At 44.0% G+C, this 14,391-nt stretch overlaps 1 protein-coding gene and 1 long non-coding RNA gene across 10 annotated transcripts in view; one reads left to right on the forward strand and one right to left on the reverse strand.

The window, feature by feature from the left end:
• The window catches only part of PRKAB1-AS1 (PRKAB1, TMEM233 and CCDC60 antisense RNA 1), a 280,141-nt gene that overhangs the window by 243,541 nt on the left and 22,209 nt on the right, over nt 1–14,391 (reverse strand). The window lies entirely within an intron of this gene.
• TMEM233 (transmembrane protein 233) overlaps nt 1–14,391 on the forward strand; it is a 60,522-nt gene that overhangs the window by 37,754 nt on the left and 8,377 nt on the right. The window contains exons 3-4 of one of the 7 annotated variants that reach the window (XM_005253881.4): nt 2,697–2,761; nt 9,172–11,548. The exons of 1 other annotated variant lie outside the window; for it this stretch is intronic. In XM_005253881.4, the coding sequence (XP_005253938.1) occupies nt 2,697–2,736 (40 nt within the window). In that variant the 3' untranslated portion in view covers nt 2,737–2,761; nt 9,172–11,548. Of the gene's footprint in view, nt 1–17; nt 1,536–2,696; nt 2,762–9,171; nt 11,549–14,391 lie in introns of those variants that run through there. 5 more of the 7 variants (XM_011538328.4, XM_011538329.3, NM_001136534.3 and 2 more) reach the window with 5 other exon arrangements.

A 14,391-nucleotide genomic window follows, 5' to 3' on the forward strand; every position in this document is an offset into this window, starting at 1 on the left:
AGGTTTCTTGCCTGCAGGATGGCAAATTTGATGTTGGCCCATGAAGAGGAAGATGGTTGGAGAATACACGTGAATGAACCTGACTATATTCTTAAGAGAAGGTGTAAGGTGCTTGTGAACTTGTGAGCAGGGGAGCCACAGAGTGTGGGTTTAATGGTGCAGTTTTGGCACCAGACTGCCTGGACCCAGGTCCCAGTCACCACTTATTCACTGTGAGACCTTCAGCCAATTGTTTAACATTCCTGAACCTCAGTTTCCTCACCTGTAAAATGAGAATAATAGTAGTACCCATTTCATAAAGCTATTGTAAAGGTTAACTGGATGACCCACAGAATGTGTAGGTTGGTGTCTCTGTTCTTTAGTGGGTGCACAAAAATGTAAACCATTTATTAATCCCATTATTACTAATATTATCAATGTTACTGGGAAAGGACCTCAGAATTCAAGATGCCATTAAATAGAATTCAAGGCTTTATATTTATGAGCCAAACAAAGGACAATGTTCTAAGGGAATGAGACCAAGCCTTGGCTTGACTCCTGGGAACTTGGGAAAATGCATACTGCCTAGATTAGTGTTTGAGCTAAGTGGGTTATAATAATAGCAGCTGACACTAACATAGACCTTGACATATGCCAGGTACTGTTCTAAGCTCTTAACATTAATTAATCCTCATTGAGTCTTCACAGCAACCCAAAGAGGTAGATAGGTATTATTATCCCTATTTTGTAGATGAGGAAACCGAGACTCAGAGAGGTAAAGTGACTTGCCCAAAGCCTCACAGCTAGTTAGTGGAAAAGGTAGGATTTAAAACCAGGATAGTGTCGCTCTTCAGGCTGTGTTCTTAGCCAAACTCTGCACTGCCGCTAAGTCAATATGTTCCTGCTAGTACACCCAGTAACAAAGGCCAGTAAGTGGTACTTGCTTTGTGGCTAACTCCAGGATTGATTTACGGGGGAATGGTATGGTGAGGTTTCATCCTACAGAAATGTGTGATGAGTCAGGGCTAAGGTTCACAAAATCAAAGGAGTACAGGGGTCAGGGGAAGGACATACATGAGGTAGCCTGGTTATAGGACAATAGGAAGTGGTGGGGACCATGGTAATTTCAAAAGCACAGTTTAAAGGAAGCAGCCACCACTCTGCTCCAATTGTAACCACTTAGTATGCAGGCCTCATGGGGCTCATTTTTCAAGAGATGTTGGAAATCTGGGATTTTATGTAAAATCTCCAAATTTTTAGATGTTGACAACCAATTCACATTACTAAAACGCATGGTTAGCAATTCACATTACTAAAACACAAAAACAATATTTGCAGCCTAGACACTATCTACTTTGCAGTCTCTAGTGGACAGTTTGCTTTCAAAGATCAGTTTGCTCATGGCAACTCCATCCAAGAAGTGTTGGAAGGGATCTAGAAGCATTCATATGTTAGACTTTCTCCAGCCTTAATATAAGTGTTTTTATCTGGGGATGAAGTGTTGATGTCTCTGCTTGTGATTGAAGCTTTGTTAGGAATAAAAGGTATGAGAAGGAGTTGCCTCTTTGATCCTTCTTCCTAAAAGGCACTGTTCACAAAGGTTAGAGCCTATGATTTAATACCAGCTTTATCAGGATTCAGATCCTACTTCTACCACACAGGCTATCTGGGCAAATTATTAAACTCTCTGTGCCTCAATTTCCCTAACTATAAAATGAGAATTGAATTATTTCCCCATCTGTAAGGTCAAATTCCTTCTAGATGCCTTTCCCTCTGTTATTAAAGAAAACAGGCCAGGCACAGTGGCTGATGCCTATAATCCTAGCACTTTGGGAGGCAAAGATGGAAGGATCTCTTGAGGCCAGGAGTTCCTTGACCAGCCTGGGCAACATAGCTAGACCCCATCTCTAAAAAAAAAAAATTTTTTTTAATTAGCTGGGCATGGTGGCACACACCTGTATTCCCAGCTATTTGGAAGGCTGAGATGGGAGGATCACTTGAGTCCAGGAATTCAAGGCTGCAGTGAGCTGTGGTCATGCCATCGCACTCTAGCCTACATGACAGAGTGAGACCCTGTCTCAAAAACTAAATAAATAAATTTTAAAAGAGACCCAAATTTAAAGGCTTTGTCATATGCATGTAGGGGCAAGAGAGAGAGAGACAGAGAGAAAGAAGGAAAGAGGCAGAAAAGAACTAGCTGTTAGAGAATGAAATCAATTCTCTCTTCCAGGTAACATGGCCAATTTCTCAGTAATCCTTTGAAATTAAATCTCCCAGCCCTCATTTACAGGAGTAACTAAATGGCAATATGAAACTTTTAAGGCAAAAGTACCCAAGCTTTAGACTCCATAAGAGTTACCTGGAGAGGTTTTAAAAAAGTTAGCATCCGAGCCTCACCTCCAAAGATTCCAACCTGCTAAATCAGAAGTGGGGTTCAAGAACATCTGCATCTTTCAGCTGCCCCTGCTCCCAACCTGAGGATTCAGATGCAGGTGGCGGGCAGAAGGGTCTTTGCCAAACCTTGGCAAATATCCTGCCACCAAAGTCCACAAGGAAGAACGTGCGAATGGTGGCCATTCATGGACTGGTCGGTTTTCATTTACAGCAAACTCATCATCCTAATCTGCTGTCTAACCCAATGCTAGGGAGGGGAATGAAGTTGCCACCTAGCAGGTCTACCCACAGGGAGCCTCCTTTGTAACAATCTATTTCCACAGAGGGGCTGGAAAATCTGACATTAGAGGAGTCGAAGCCTGAAGATGAGCCCAAAACCCATGAATCTGTGAGTTTTCTGAAAGTATTCATTCCAAAATGCTGTCTCGGGGCTGGGTGTGGTGGCTCACACCTGTAATCCAATACCTTGGGCTGAGGTGGGAGGATCTCTTGAGGCCAGGAGTTTAGGACCAGCCTGGGCAACATAGCAAGACCCTGTTGCTCCAAAAAATATTTATTTTAAATTAGCTGGGTTTGGTGGCGCATACCTGTCATCCTAGCTATTTGGGAGGCGGAAGCAGGAGGATCTTTTGAGCCCAGGAGATTGAGGCTGCAGTGAGCTGTGATCACACCACTGCACTGCAGCCTAAGCAACAGAGTGAGACCCTGTCTCAAAAAAAAACAAAAACAAAAACAAAACCTGTCTGAAGTAAATTACTGCCTTTTAAAAATTGTAAATTCCCTGTCTTTAAAAAAATCATTCTTTATCCTTATTAAGAAAGCTGTAACCAATGTGTTAGAGAACAGATTGAAATCTCAAATGGTTGAAATCCCGGGTAGTTTACTTCCTTGGCGTAGTCTCAGATCATGATAGTCTTTACCCAAACTCATAAAAAGCTCTCATTCGTCCTATTTTACAGGATATCTATGTAAGCCACATGGTGGCTGGGGCAATGAAACACGGGGTTTCATGACATCAAATTCCTAAGAGCTGGGAATTATTCAACTGAAATATTAAACCATTTTGGATAGAATCGTGCATTGACAGCAGGGAATTGTTCTTGTCCAGACAGAATCATGAACTTGCAGTCTTTCAAAGTCAGAAAACTCTCCGCCCTCAAGCTGCTAGGGAAAGTGAAGAAATAAATCACACAGGTGAAAGGTTTAAATATAGTAGCTGTCCATTTATCAATCCTAGTAATTCAAACCCCTAGTCAAAACCAACCTATTTGCAGGCTTTTGCTTCCTGCTAATACCTTGAGGACTCAAGCAAGGTTAGGTTATTCTAGTGATGTTTCTCAAAGCACAAATCTCAGAGCCACCTACGACAGATTCATCTGGGATGTTTATAAAAATGCAAGTTCCTGGACCCCATTTCCTGAGTAGCCTGGAAATATGACAAGCCACCTTCCCCAAAAAATAATTCTAAATATTCTAAAGTTGCAGAACTACTATCCTAGGGCTTGCATTTAATGAAGAACATTCTTGCCTGTGTGGACATGTGCCAACAAACAAGACTTTTTGCATCCCTAAGATAAAAGATAAACAGTTTTTCTTCTCTTATACACTCAACACAACACACAGCTGTGAGCAGGTGTGTTTTGTTTCCCCCACACACCAAGCAATTGTCCAGTGACTACCAACTAGGTATTCTGTAATTTAGCCCGATTATGACACCATCTACTGGGAGTTAGAGTCAGATCCCACAGGTTAATGGTTTGGTCCCCCAAGACTGCCTCCCATTTCAGATGCTAATTGCAAGCCCCAGGTTGTGACCTGCGCTTCTGACTGGCTGGCTCTTAGTTGGAGATTTTCACCACCCTCTTCTCAGTTTCTATTAATGCGCTAAAGTGGCTCACAGAACTCAAGGCAACACTTACTTATGTTTACCCATTTATTACAAAGGATATTACAAAGGATACAGATGAACAGTCAGATGGAAGAGATGCATAGGGCAAGGTATAGAGGAAGGGGCGTGGTGTTTCCATGTGTGCCACCTTCCAGGTCCCACCACACATTCAGCAATCTAAAACCTCTCCCAACCCTGTCCTTTTGGGTTTGCATGGGGGCTTCATTACATAGGCATGACCAATTACATCACTGGCCATTGGTGCCCAACTCAAAATCAACCTTCAGGCCATTTGTCCTCCCTGGAGTCCAGGGGGTGGGACTGGAAGTTCCAACCTTCTAATTACATGGCTGGTTCCCCTGGCAACCCACTCCCAACCTGAGGCTATCCAGGAGCCCACCAAGAGTTGCCTCATTAGAACAAATATAGTCCCATCACCCAGGAAATTCCAAGAAACTGGGGAGCTCTGTGTCAGAAACTGGAGTCAAAGACAAAACATCAAAACAAAAGATTCTCCTAGTACCCAGTCTACAAGGGTGTTAGGAGCTCTGTGTCAAGAACCAGATGCAGGGATCAAATATTTCTTATTGTTATTATAGCACAACATCACACCTAAGGTACCTGGTAGAAGCTTCAGTTATTGCTGCTTCCCTGGAAAGTTTACACACCTCCCAAATTTTCTCTTCCTCCCTCCCTTTTGTTTTTGGTTTTTGAGACAGGGGTCTCATTATGTTGCCCCGGCTGGTCTTGAACTCCCAGCCTCAAGTGATCCTCCCACCTCAGCCTCCTGAGTTAGCTGGGATTACAGGGTTGAGCCACCACACCCAGCTCTTTTCATCTCTCATTGAGATTAGGCTCATGGTCACTTATCTGATGCTCTGTGGAATTCAGCGGAACGTCCTTAGCAGCAGAAAGAGTTGACCAGGACAACATTTGGGTATGAGACAAATGTCCTCTGTGACAAATATGACATTCCCGGATGACCCTGCTAATACAGTGGAGCTTCATGTTACTCAGGAGTAAGGTTCTCATGTCAGGGCACAAGGTGAGCTTTGAGTATAATCAAACTTAATCTTGGAAGTATCCAAGGAGGGCGCCCTACTGGAGACTCACACATGGTATCTTGATCAGCCCAGCATAGCCAGTGAATGTTTCCAGTGTTGGAACAGGTGACTGTTCCTTGGGTTGAGAGCCCACTGAAGTATGTGGCTGGGTTTAGGGTTCATGGCATCTGTTTCAACACTGGAACCACACTCTGGGCTCACATAGAAGGAATAGATGTGACATCCCCATCCGTGCTCATGATCATTGAGCGGGGCGGCAGTCAGAAACTCCAGCTCTATTTAAACAGTTGCTTTTTTTGTTTTTGAGGAACATAAATAGTTGATCTGCCACATGTTAAATGCACATACAATGTAACTCCCCTGAAGGTACATCTCTGAGTGGTCTTGTTGAGGTGTAAACAGCCAGGTACACACCTGTGTGTTAAAAATGCTTGCTTGCCATTCTTAACAACAACAGCCTTTGTGCTCCAAGGTTTTCATTAAGGAAAAACTTACCTCTAAACAGGGGTTAGGGTCCCATGACTGTGTCTCATTAGCAGGCACAGAGTTAGAAGACCTTGACCCATTCTGTACTGGGAAAGCGTCTCTCTCATAAGCAAATTGAAATGAATCCTTTCCTGGTCTCAAAATATCCTTCAATTGCATCAGAATTGGAAGGAGACATACATATCAAGGTGGAACTTGACCTTTTTGCAAAAGCTTAAAAGCAAATCCCTCTTCTTTTCTATATTTTTGGCTGGGGAAAGGCTTTCTGGGAATTGTTTTGATCAGAGAATTTTTGTGATTCCATAATGAAAAATGGGAATCATTACCTATTTCTAGAAGGTTAGAAGGGTCTTTCTCTGTTGGTTCAGATAAGTTCAGGTAGAGACAAATCAGACCTAAGTTGCCAGCAACAATGGAAGAATTTTTGCTTGGAAAAGGATATAAGCTAGCAGCGCATTGATGAAGAAATCAGAATGAACATTAAAAAGATGTTCAACCTCACTAGTAATCAAGAAAGCACAAATTAAAGCAATAACAACAAAAATCCTACATATTTTTGTCTGGCAGATTGCAACAATTAAAAAGATGGGTAATATCAAGGTTGACCAGGATGTGAAAAATTTGACACTATACTGGTGGTGAAAGAGAAAATTGGGACAGTCTTTTGGAAAGTCAGTTTGGATGTATCTAATATAAAATCCAGGCACCCACCAACCCAGCAATTCCACTGCTCAGTATCCACCTTAGAGACAGGTGCACAGAAATGCATGTAACACAGTAATGCTTCACCCTAGCTACGTGTTAGAATCACCTGGGGAGCTTTAAACATATGCCAATGCCGCTGGGCACTGTAGTTCATGCCTGAAATCCCAGCACTTTGGGAGGCAGAAACAGGAGGATCACTAGAGCTCAGGAGCTGGAGGCCAGCCTGGGAAACATAGCAAGATCTCATCTCTACTAAAAATTTAAAAAAATATATCTGGGCTTGGTGGCATGCACCTGTAGTCCCAGCTACTTGGGAGGCTCAGGTGTGAGGCCAGCTTGAGCCCAAGAGGTCGAGGGTGCAGTCCGCTATAATTGTGCCACTGTACTCCAGCCTGGGTGACAGAGCAAGACCCTGTCTCAAAAAATTAAAACAAAAAAATTTTTAAAAACAATGCCCAGGGCCCACCCTGGACCAATTAAATTAGAATCTCCAGTAACAGGGCCAGGAATTGGTAGACTGTAGGGCTCTCCAGGTAACTCTAATGTGCAGCCAGGGTTGGGAACCACAGACGTGCAACGATGTTCATTGCAGCTTTGTTTGCAATAGGAGAAACCTTGAAACAACCTAAATGTCCATCAGTAGGCAGGTTAAATTAGGAGTGATGTATTCATATGATGGGACGCCACACTGCAGTTTAAACATGAAGACAGGGCCAGGTGCCCTGGTTCATACCTGTAATCCCAGCACTTTGGGAGGCCGAGGTGGGAGGATCACTTGAGCCCAGGAGTTCAAGACCAGCCTGGGCGATATACTGAGATCCCGTCTCTATTTTTTTTTAAGTATACAGGTGGAGACATCCTTCTTACTATGACTTTACAAGCCCTGCATGATCTGGCTGCCACCTCCCCATCCTCATCTCCCATCCCACATCCTCATCTCCCCTCTCTCTCCCTTTCACTCCCTCCACTTCAGCCACATCAGAGTCCTCTCTGAGCAATGCAAGCATATTCCTGCCTCAGGGCCTCTGCACTTGCCGTTCCCTCTGCCTGGAATTCTCTTCCTTCTAAAAGCCAAACAGCTGGTTCCCATTTCTCCTTCTGGTACTTGTTCATATATTACATTAGCAAAGAGACTATCCCTTTAGCCAGTTTTACTTCTCTTCCTTACTACTCCCTGACAAATTATATATCTATGTCTGTTTCCCCCCTACTGGCATGAGAACTCCAGGGACATTTTCATTTCTGTTATTGCCCATAATAATAGAGCATGGCCCTTAAGAGTGCCTATTTATGGCCAGGTGTGGTGACTCACACCTGTAATCCCAGCACTTTGGGAGGCTGAGGCGGGTGGATCACAAGGTCAGGAGATCGATACCATCCTGGCTAACATGGTGAAACCCCGTCTCTACTAAAAATAGAAAAAAAAAAATTAGCTGGGCATGGTGGCAGGCGCCTGTAGTCCCAGCTACTTGGGAGGCTGAGGCAGGAGAATGGCATGAACCCAGGAGGTGGAGGTTGCAGTGAGCCGAGATCATGCCACTGCACTCCAGCCTGGGCAACAGAGCGAGACTCCATCTCAAAAAAAAAAGAAAAAAAGAAAAAGAGGACCTATTTACAAGTTAGACTGCTGGAGTTCCAGTCCAGGTGCTTCCTCTAAGTAGCTGTGTGCCCTTGGGTATATCTTTTAAGCAGTCTGTGCCTCTGTTTTCTCATACATAAAATGGGGATAATAACAGTGCCTATCTCATAGGGCTGTGAGGGTTAAATGGCACAAACTACAGGGCCTGGCACTCTGTACTCACTAGGTAACTGTTGGGTATTATTACTATCATCAGCACCTAAAGCAGTGCCCAGCATGTAAATAAGCATTGAATAAATGAATGAGTAAAACAAAAAAAGAAATTGCAGCACGATCACATTGTGTAAACGCATACACATGATGAGTATATAATTTCTACATGCTTATTGATCAGTTTCAATGCAGAGAAAAACGCCTGGAGAACTTACACCAAACTGCTAACAGCACTACTATACTAATCCTTGGGGAGGAGAGTGAGGTTCGGAAATGCTCAAGAGGCATTTTTCCATATCCGCATTTTGTTTGTTGTTGTTGTTTTGTTTTGTTTTTTGAGATGGAGTCTTGCTCAGTCGCCCAGGCTGGAGTGCAGTGGCACAATCTCGGCTCACTGCAAGCTCCGCCTCCCGGGTTCACGCCATTCTCCTGCCTCAGCCTCCCAAGTAGCTGGGACTACAGGCACCCGCCACCACGCCCGGCTAATTTTTTTTGTATTTTTAGTAGAGATGCAGTTTCACCATGTTAGCCAGGATGGTCTCTATCTCCTGACCTCGTGATCCACCCGCCTCAGCCTCCCAAAGTGCTGGGATTACAGGCGTGAGCCACCATGCCTGGCCTGTTTTTGCTTTTGTTTTTTTGCACGTACCACATGTAAGATAAAATAAGTTTTACAAATAGAATATGTTTCTCAAAAGGAAGCCCCTGCTTAGAGTCAAAAGTGTGCACGCAGGCTGGTACATTTCAACATGTGTTTAACCAGAGTCATCATCATCAAATAAGGAAGGCATCGAGCTGGGAAAGCCAACCACAGAAGCTCAGCCCACGGTCTTTCTCTCTCTCTCTCTGTCTGTACCACACAGTGCCTGAGGAACCAGCGGTCAGTGGGCTGTGAGCGTGGAGGATGGACCTCATCCACACACACCCCAAAGGAGTTTCTAAGGAATGGATCCTTGACTTCAGACTGTGAGATCTTTTCCTCCAGGACTCTCCAGAGGCAGGTCCCTGGCAAATGAACAAGAAAAAAAAAAAAAAAAAGTCCAAAATTTAGGCAATCCAAGCTGCACAGCCGGATCAGCCAAAGTCATTGATTTGTAAAAATGAAAAGAAAACAGAAAAAAGAAAAATGAAGTCTCACTGTCTCAGTTTAGCGAATCCCGTTGTGTCCACTCCTGTCCTCCAGAGGCGAGCCTCAGGAAATCACATAACTTTTCACTGAGGGGATCCAGGGGGTCTCCATATAGGGGGAGATGGAGGTTTCTAGGAAGAGCAGCAGGTGCTGGTATTTACAATGTTGAGCACAAACATTTGCAGCATGTTTAAAATTGTCTAGTAGAGTTCAAGTTGTGGATTTGCTTTTCCTTTTATTCTTATAACCTTCAGTAACTCCTCCTCTGGGAGTCAGCACTCCCATGCCCAGAGTTCACCCATCTGGTCATCAAACACTCAAAGAAGGGGCTTTTCTGGCCTTTTGTCTTGATGCTTATATTTCCAAATAGGCCCCCTCCCTTGCTTGCATCCACGTTGGTCAACTTGACCAAAACCTCACTCTTCACTCAAACAGGCTCTGAGAATGGACTTAGTGGCCAATTCTAGGTACATGAGCACTTCCTGTATCCCAGTTTTGGGAATAAACTGGCTGTATTTATAGAATGTGCTTTTTTTTTTTCAATTTCTCACTCTCTCTCCTATCTCTAGCAAGTCTCAGGCAAGATCTTTGATTTTCCTGGATGCCACCTGGAAATGCCACCCATTGTGTTTCTTTTCTGTCAAATGTAAACCCTTTAGATGTGAATGTACTGGTTTAATGATGCCATTATTCTGCCTGCCAGAACGCAGTAACCCAGTGTCTCACAGAGCACAAGGGGTGTGCCACTGGTGGTACACAAGATAATTTTTAAGTAGTTTCTAGGAACAACATTAAGTAATACCAAATCACAAAGAATGTTTCCCCTTTTCTATTCTTTTTTCATCCTGATTACAGCAAGGAAAAAGTCTCTGTTTAGTGCTAGCAGGTCCTTTACACCTTTCAGACACTATGGCTCTTTTCCCTTTTTAGCAAAGAAAGAGCAGGCCTCAGAGTCTTCTGTCTAGATAGAATTTAATGATATTGTTTTGTGTCATGGTATTTATTTTATTTATTACCTTCCATTTACAGCTTCCCACAGTGGGGGATGTGACATATTGTTTCTGTTCAAATAAATTAAGAAAAACAAGAGAACTCAAGAAAATATCAAGTAATTAACACACCAGATAAGTATATGTGGCAAAAGTCACTTCAAAGAATTAATGTCAGAAAGATGGTGATAATGAAGCAAAAGAAAGGCAGATTATGCTGGCCGGGCGTGGTGGCTCACGCCTGTAATCCCAGCAATTTGAGAGGCTGAGATCACTTAAGGTCAGGAGTTTGAGACCAGCCTGACCAACATGGTGAAACTCCATCTCTACTAAAAATACAAAAATTAGCCAGGCGTGGTGGTGCATGCCTGTAATCCCAGCTAATAGAGAGGCTGAGGCAGGAGAATCACTTGAATCCAGAAGGCGGAGGTTGCCGTGAGCTGAGACTGTGCCACTACACTCCAGCCCGGGGTGACAGAGCAAGACTCCATCTCAAAAAAAAAAGAAAAGAAAACGAAAGAAAAAGAAAAAAGAAAGGCAGATTATTCTAATTGAATGAATAAGAGGCTGAGAGTCAATACCTAGTTCCAACGCCCTTTTGTTTTTGCAGGGTTTTTATTGGCCACTAACTAGCTATGCAAGCTGATTTTAGGCAAGTTTCATAGCCTCTCTGTGCCTAAAATTCCTTCACCTGCAAAATGGGGATAAGAATGCCTGCCTACTTACCTCACAGTGCTGTTATGAGAATTAATTGTTGTAATAGTTGTGACTAACCATTGGCGGGGAGAATTCTAAGTACTATACCAATACAAATTTCAGCATTTTTTCATATACTGAACCCTAGCAAAAAAAAAAAAAATTCTGATGAACATCAGATTCAACCTGTCATTTTACCCGGATGTTGTGATGAGCCAGCACTTGTCCCAGGAGGACGTTGAATCAGGGACACGAAATCTCAGCACACAGAGATTCTAGCATCATTCCAATAGATTGGACCCTGATTTCTGTTTCTGACATCCTGTTTTTTGTTTGTGCGTGTTTGGGTCCCTGGTCTTTTACCCAAATCAAATGAAAAGTGTTGCTCAGAGGCAGAATAAAAATGGTTTTAAGTAAGCCTGTGTACCACAGTGTGTGAATTGTGTTTTCTTGGGGTTCCCCACCTTCCAGAGATTTCCGTAACCAAAATAAGCTCATCTAGTCCAGCATCAGTCCCCAGGGAAGAGCCCAGAGAGGCCAGAGGTGGCGCTAGAGAGGCATCACTCTGAACTAATTTATGGCCAGAAATGTCCCTCTATGAGGCACTGAAAATGTTGGTCCTATTAAAGTAAAAAAATAAAATAAGAAAAATCTTGTCATTAAATGTGCTCCTTGGGGTCAAGAGGGCCACTGATTTTTGTTGGGCGTCCCCCAGGTCCTAAGCTCTAAGAAGGACAAAATGGTTTTTGTTGGGATGATGGGCTTGTCCAGAGCTTCCTCCAAAGCTAAGACTGCCCCTGCTCCACTCGCAAAAGCACAGTTTAAAAAGAGATTGGTGGCCGGGCGCGGTGGCTCACGCCTGTAATCCCAGCACTTCGGGAGGCCGAGGCAGGTGGATCATAAAGTCAGGCTAGCGAGACCATCCTGGCTAACACAGTGAAACCCAGTCTCTACTAAAAATACAAAAAATTAGCCGGGCGTGGTGGCGGGCGCCTGTAGTCCCAGCTACTCGGGAGGCTGAGGCAGGAGAATCGCTTGAATCCGGGAGGCGGAGGTTGCAGTGAGCCGAGATCATGCCACTGCACTCCAGCCTGGGCGACAGAGTGAGATTCCGTATCAAAAAAAAAAAAAAGGTGTATTATCAACCAAGAGACTCCTTCATCAGCCAGTTACAAAAACTGGCTAAATAGAGCAGAAAAAGTAGAGTTTACCCTCACAAGACGGAAACTTCCAGGGATAGCTTCAGAGGCAGCTGGATCCTGGTGCGCAGGGTTTTTGGGAACGTGTCCCTTTCCAGGTCTCAGCCCCAACTTGCTGAGTTCATTTTAGTTTAATAGGGACAATACGACTGCCAACAGCTTTGGACTTTTTCCTACCAGCCTGTGGAAAGACAGTGTTTCTTCCCTAATAGCTCCAGGGGGGAAAAATGGTTCAATTCAATATAATGAACAACTGATACAAACCAGAAACCGACCTATCAAAATGGATACCAGTCATTAACAAACAGGTGTGGCCACTGTACCAACATAAATGGATGCTGTGGCCAGGGGTGTGTGGTGCCCTCATTGGCCAGGCTTGAAGTCAGGATTCAATCACTGGAACTGAATGTGAGGTCAGCTCCACTCAAACCTTATAGATTGAGGGTGCGGGAAGGATGGTTCCCCAAAGGAAAACCAAAGTACTCTTACCAGAAGAAGGAGAGAGATTTGCTAGGCAAAAAAACAAAAACAAACAAACAAAAAAAACAGCGTCCATATTAAGCATGCTGCTTCTTACTATACCTTCCATATGCAGGGCAAAGTAATCTAATGGCTTTTCTTTTTCTTTTCTTTTTTTTTTTTTTTTTTGAGATGGAGTTTCACTCATTGCCCAGGCTGGAGTGCAATGGCACGATCTCTGCTCACTGCAACCTCCACCTCCCGGGTTCAAGCGATTCTCCTGCTTCAGCTTCCTGAGTAGCTGGGATTACAGGTGTGCACCACCACACCTGGCTAATTTTTTGTATTTTTAGTAGAGACTGGGTTTCACCATGTTGGCCAGGCTGGTCTCGAACTCCTGACCTCAGGTGATCCACCCACCTCGGCCTCCCAAAGTGCTGGGATTACAGGTGTGAGCCACCACACCCAGCCTCCTCATAGCTTTTCAATTTCCCCGTGGTGTTGTCACTTTCATCCAGCTCCTTCTCTGACCAGTATTTATAGAGCACCTGCTCAACCACAGAAACTGGGCTGGTGGAAATTCCAGAATGTTTAAGAGAGACCCCTGAGAAGGTGGCAGTAGTCTAGTGGGGGGAACAGACACACACAAACAATGAGAAGGAAACATGAGAGTGCCCAGACAGAGGCATAAACAAAGTATTGTGCCATCACTTTGCAGGAGAACACACTGGCTGTACTAAAGGGAAGGAAGACAGTCCCTGTCCTACCATTCTTCGCAGTGCTGAGGCCAATAGGGCTACAGCTCTTGAAGTTGCCCTGTCTCTGCCCACAAGTTATGGGCAGAAACAGATGCAGATATAAAATCGCTGGCCTCAGCTCCTGGATCAGCAAATTACCTTTGGCCTACAGCAGGACAGCTGCATTCAGCAAAACAGCATGATGCACATATCTTGATACGTAACCCTAGATTCAGGCTTCTAAATATAAGAGACAGTTCTGGGCCACCAATTACCAAAAAAAAAAAAAAAAAAATCTTGTAAGATAACGTTCATACTCATGGGTTACAACCAATTCTTAAAAAATACTCACGAATATTGAATATTTAAGTCTGGGGAATTGCCCTATAAAAATATGTCCCTGCACCAAAACACTTTGAATTCTGGTTTGGACAAGCACAAAGAGAGGCAGGCATAAAGATGACTCAGGCATCACCTACACTTGCTGGAGAAGCCACAGAAAGAAGGAATTCCCTTTCCAATACATTCATTCATTCATTCCAGTAGACATCTATTTATCAGGGGTCAGGAGAGGGAAGTATGAAGTTGCCTCTGTGCATTGCCTGCATGAGGCATCAGAGAGTTTCATCTCGAGTACCTGTTCCAAACCTCGGGTGAGCAGCCAGTCAGACCTGCAATGACCCGGTCACGGCGTTCATCTCTCTTCCTGTCCCAGTGTAGAATTTCCCAGTTTGCACCCACACTGGTTCACTGATGCACCCAAGCTGTCTGCTCCTGGAACTGTGACCAAGTGTTTACTCCCCCAGGTCACGTGGAATCCCATGCATGGGGACTAGTTGTACTAGTTGTACTAGTTGGAGTGAAAGTATTGGGA

The sequence above is a fragment of the Homo sapiens genome, chromosome 12 (genome assembly GCF_000001405.40).
Source record: "Homo sapiens chromosome 12, GRCh38.p14 Primary Assembly".
In the NCBI taxonomy this organism is placed as follows: Eukaryota; Metazoa; Chordata; class Mammalia; order Primates; family Hominidae; genus Homo; species Homo sapiens.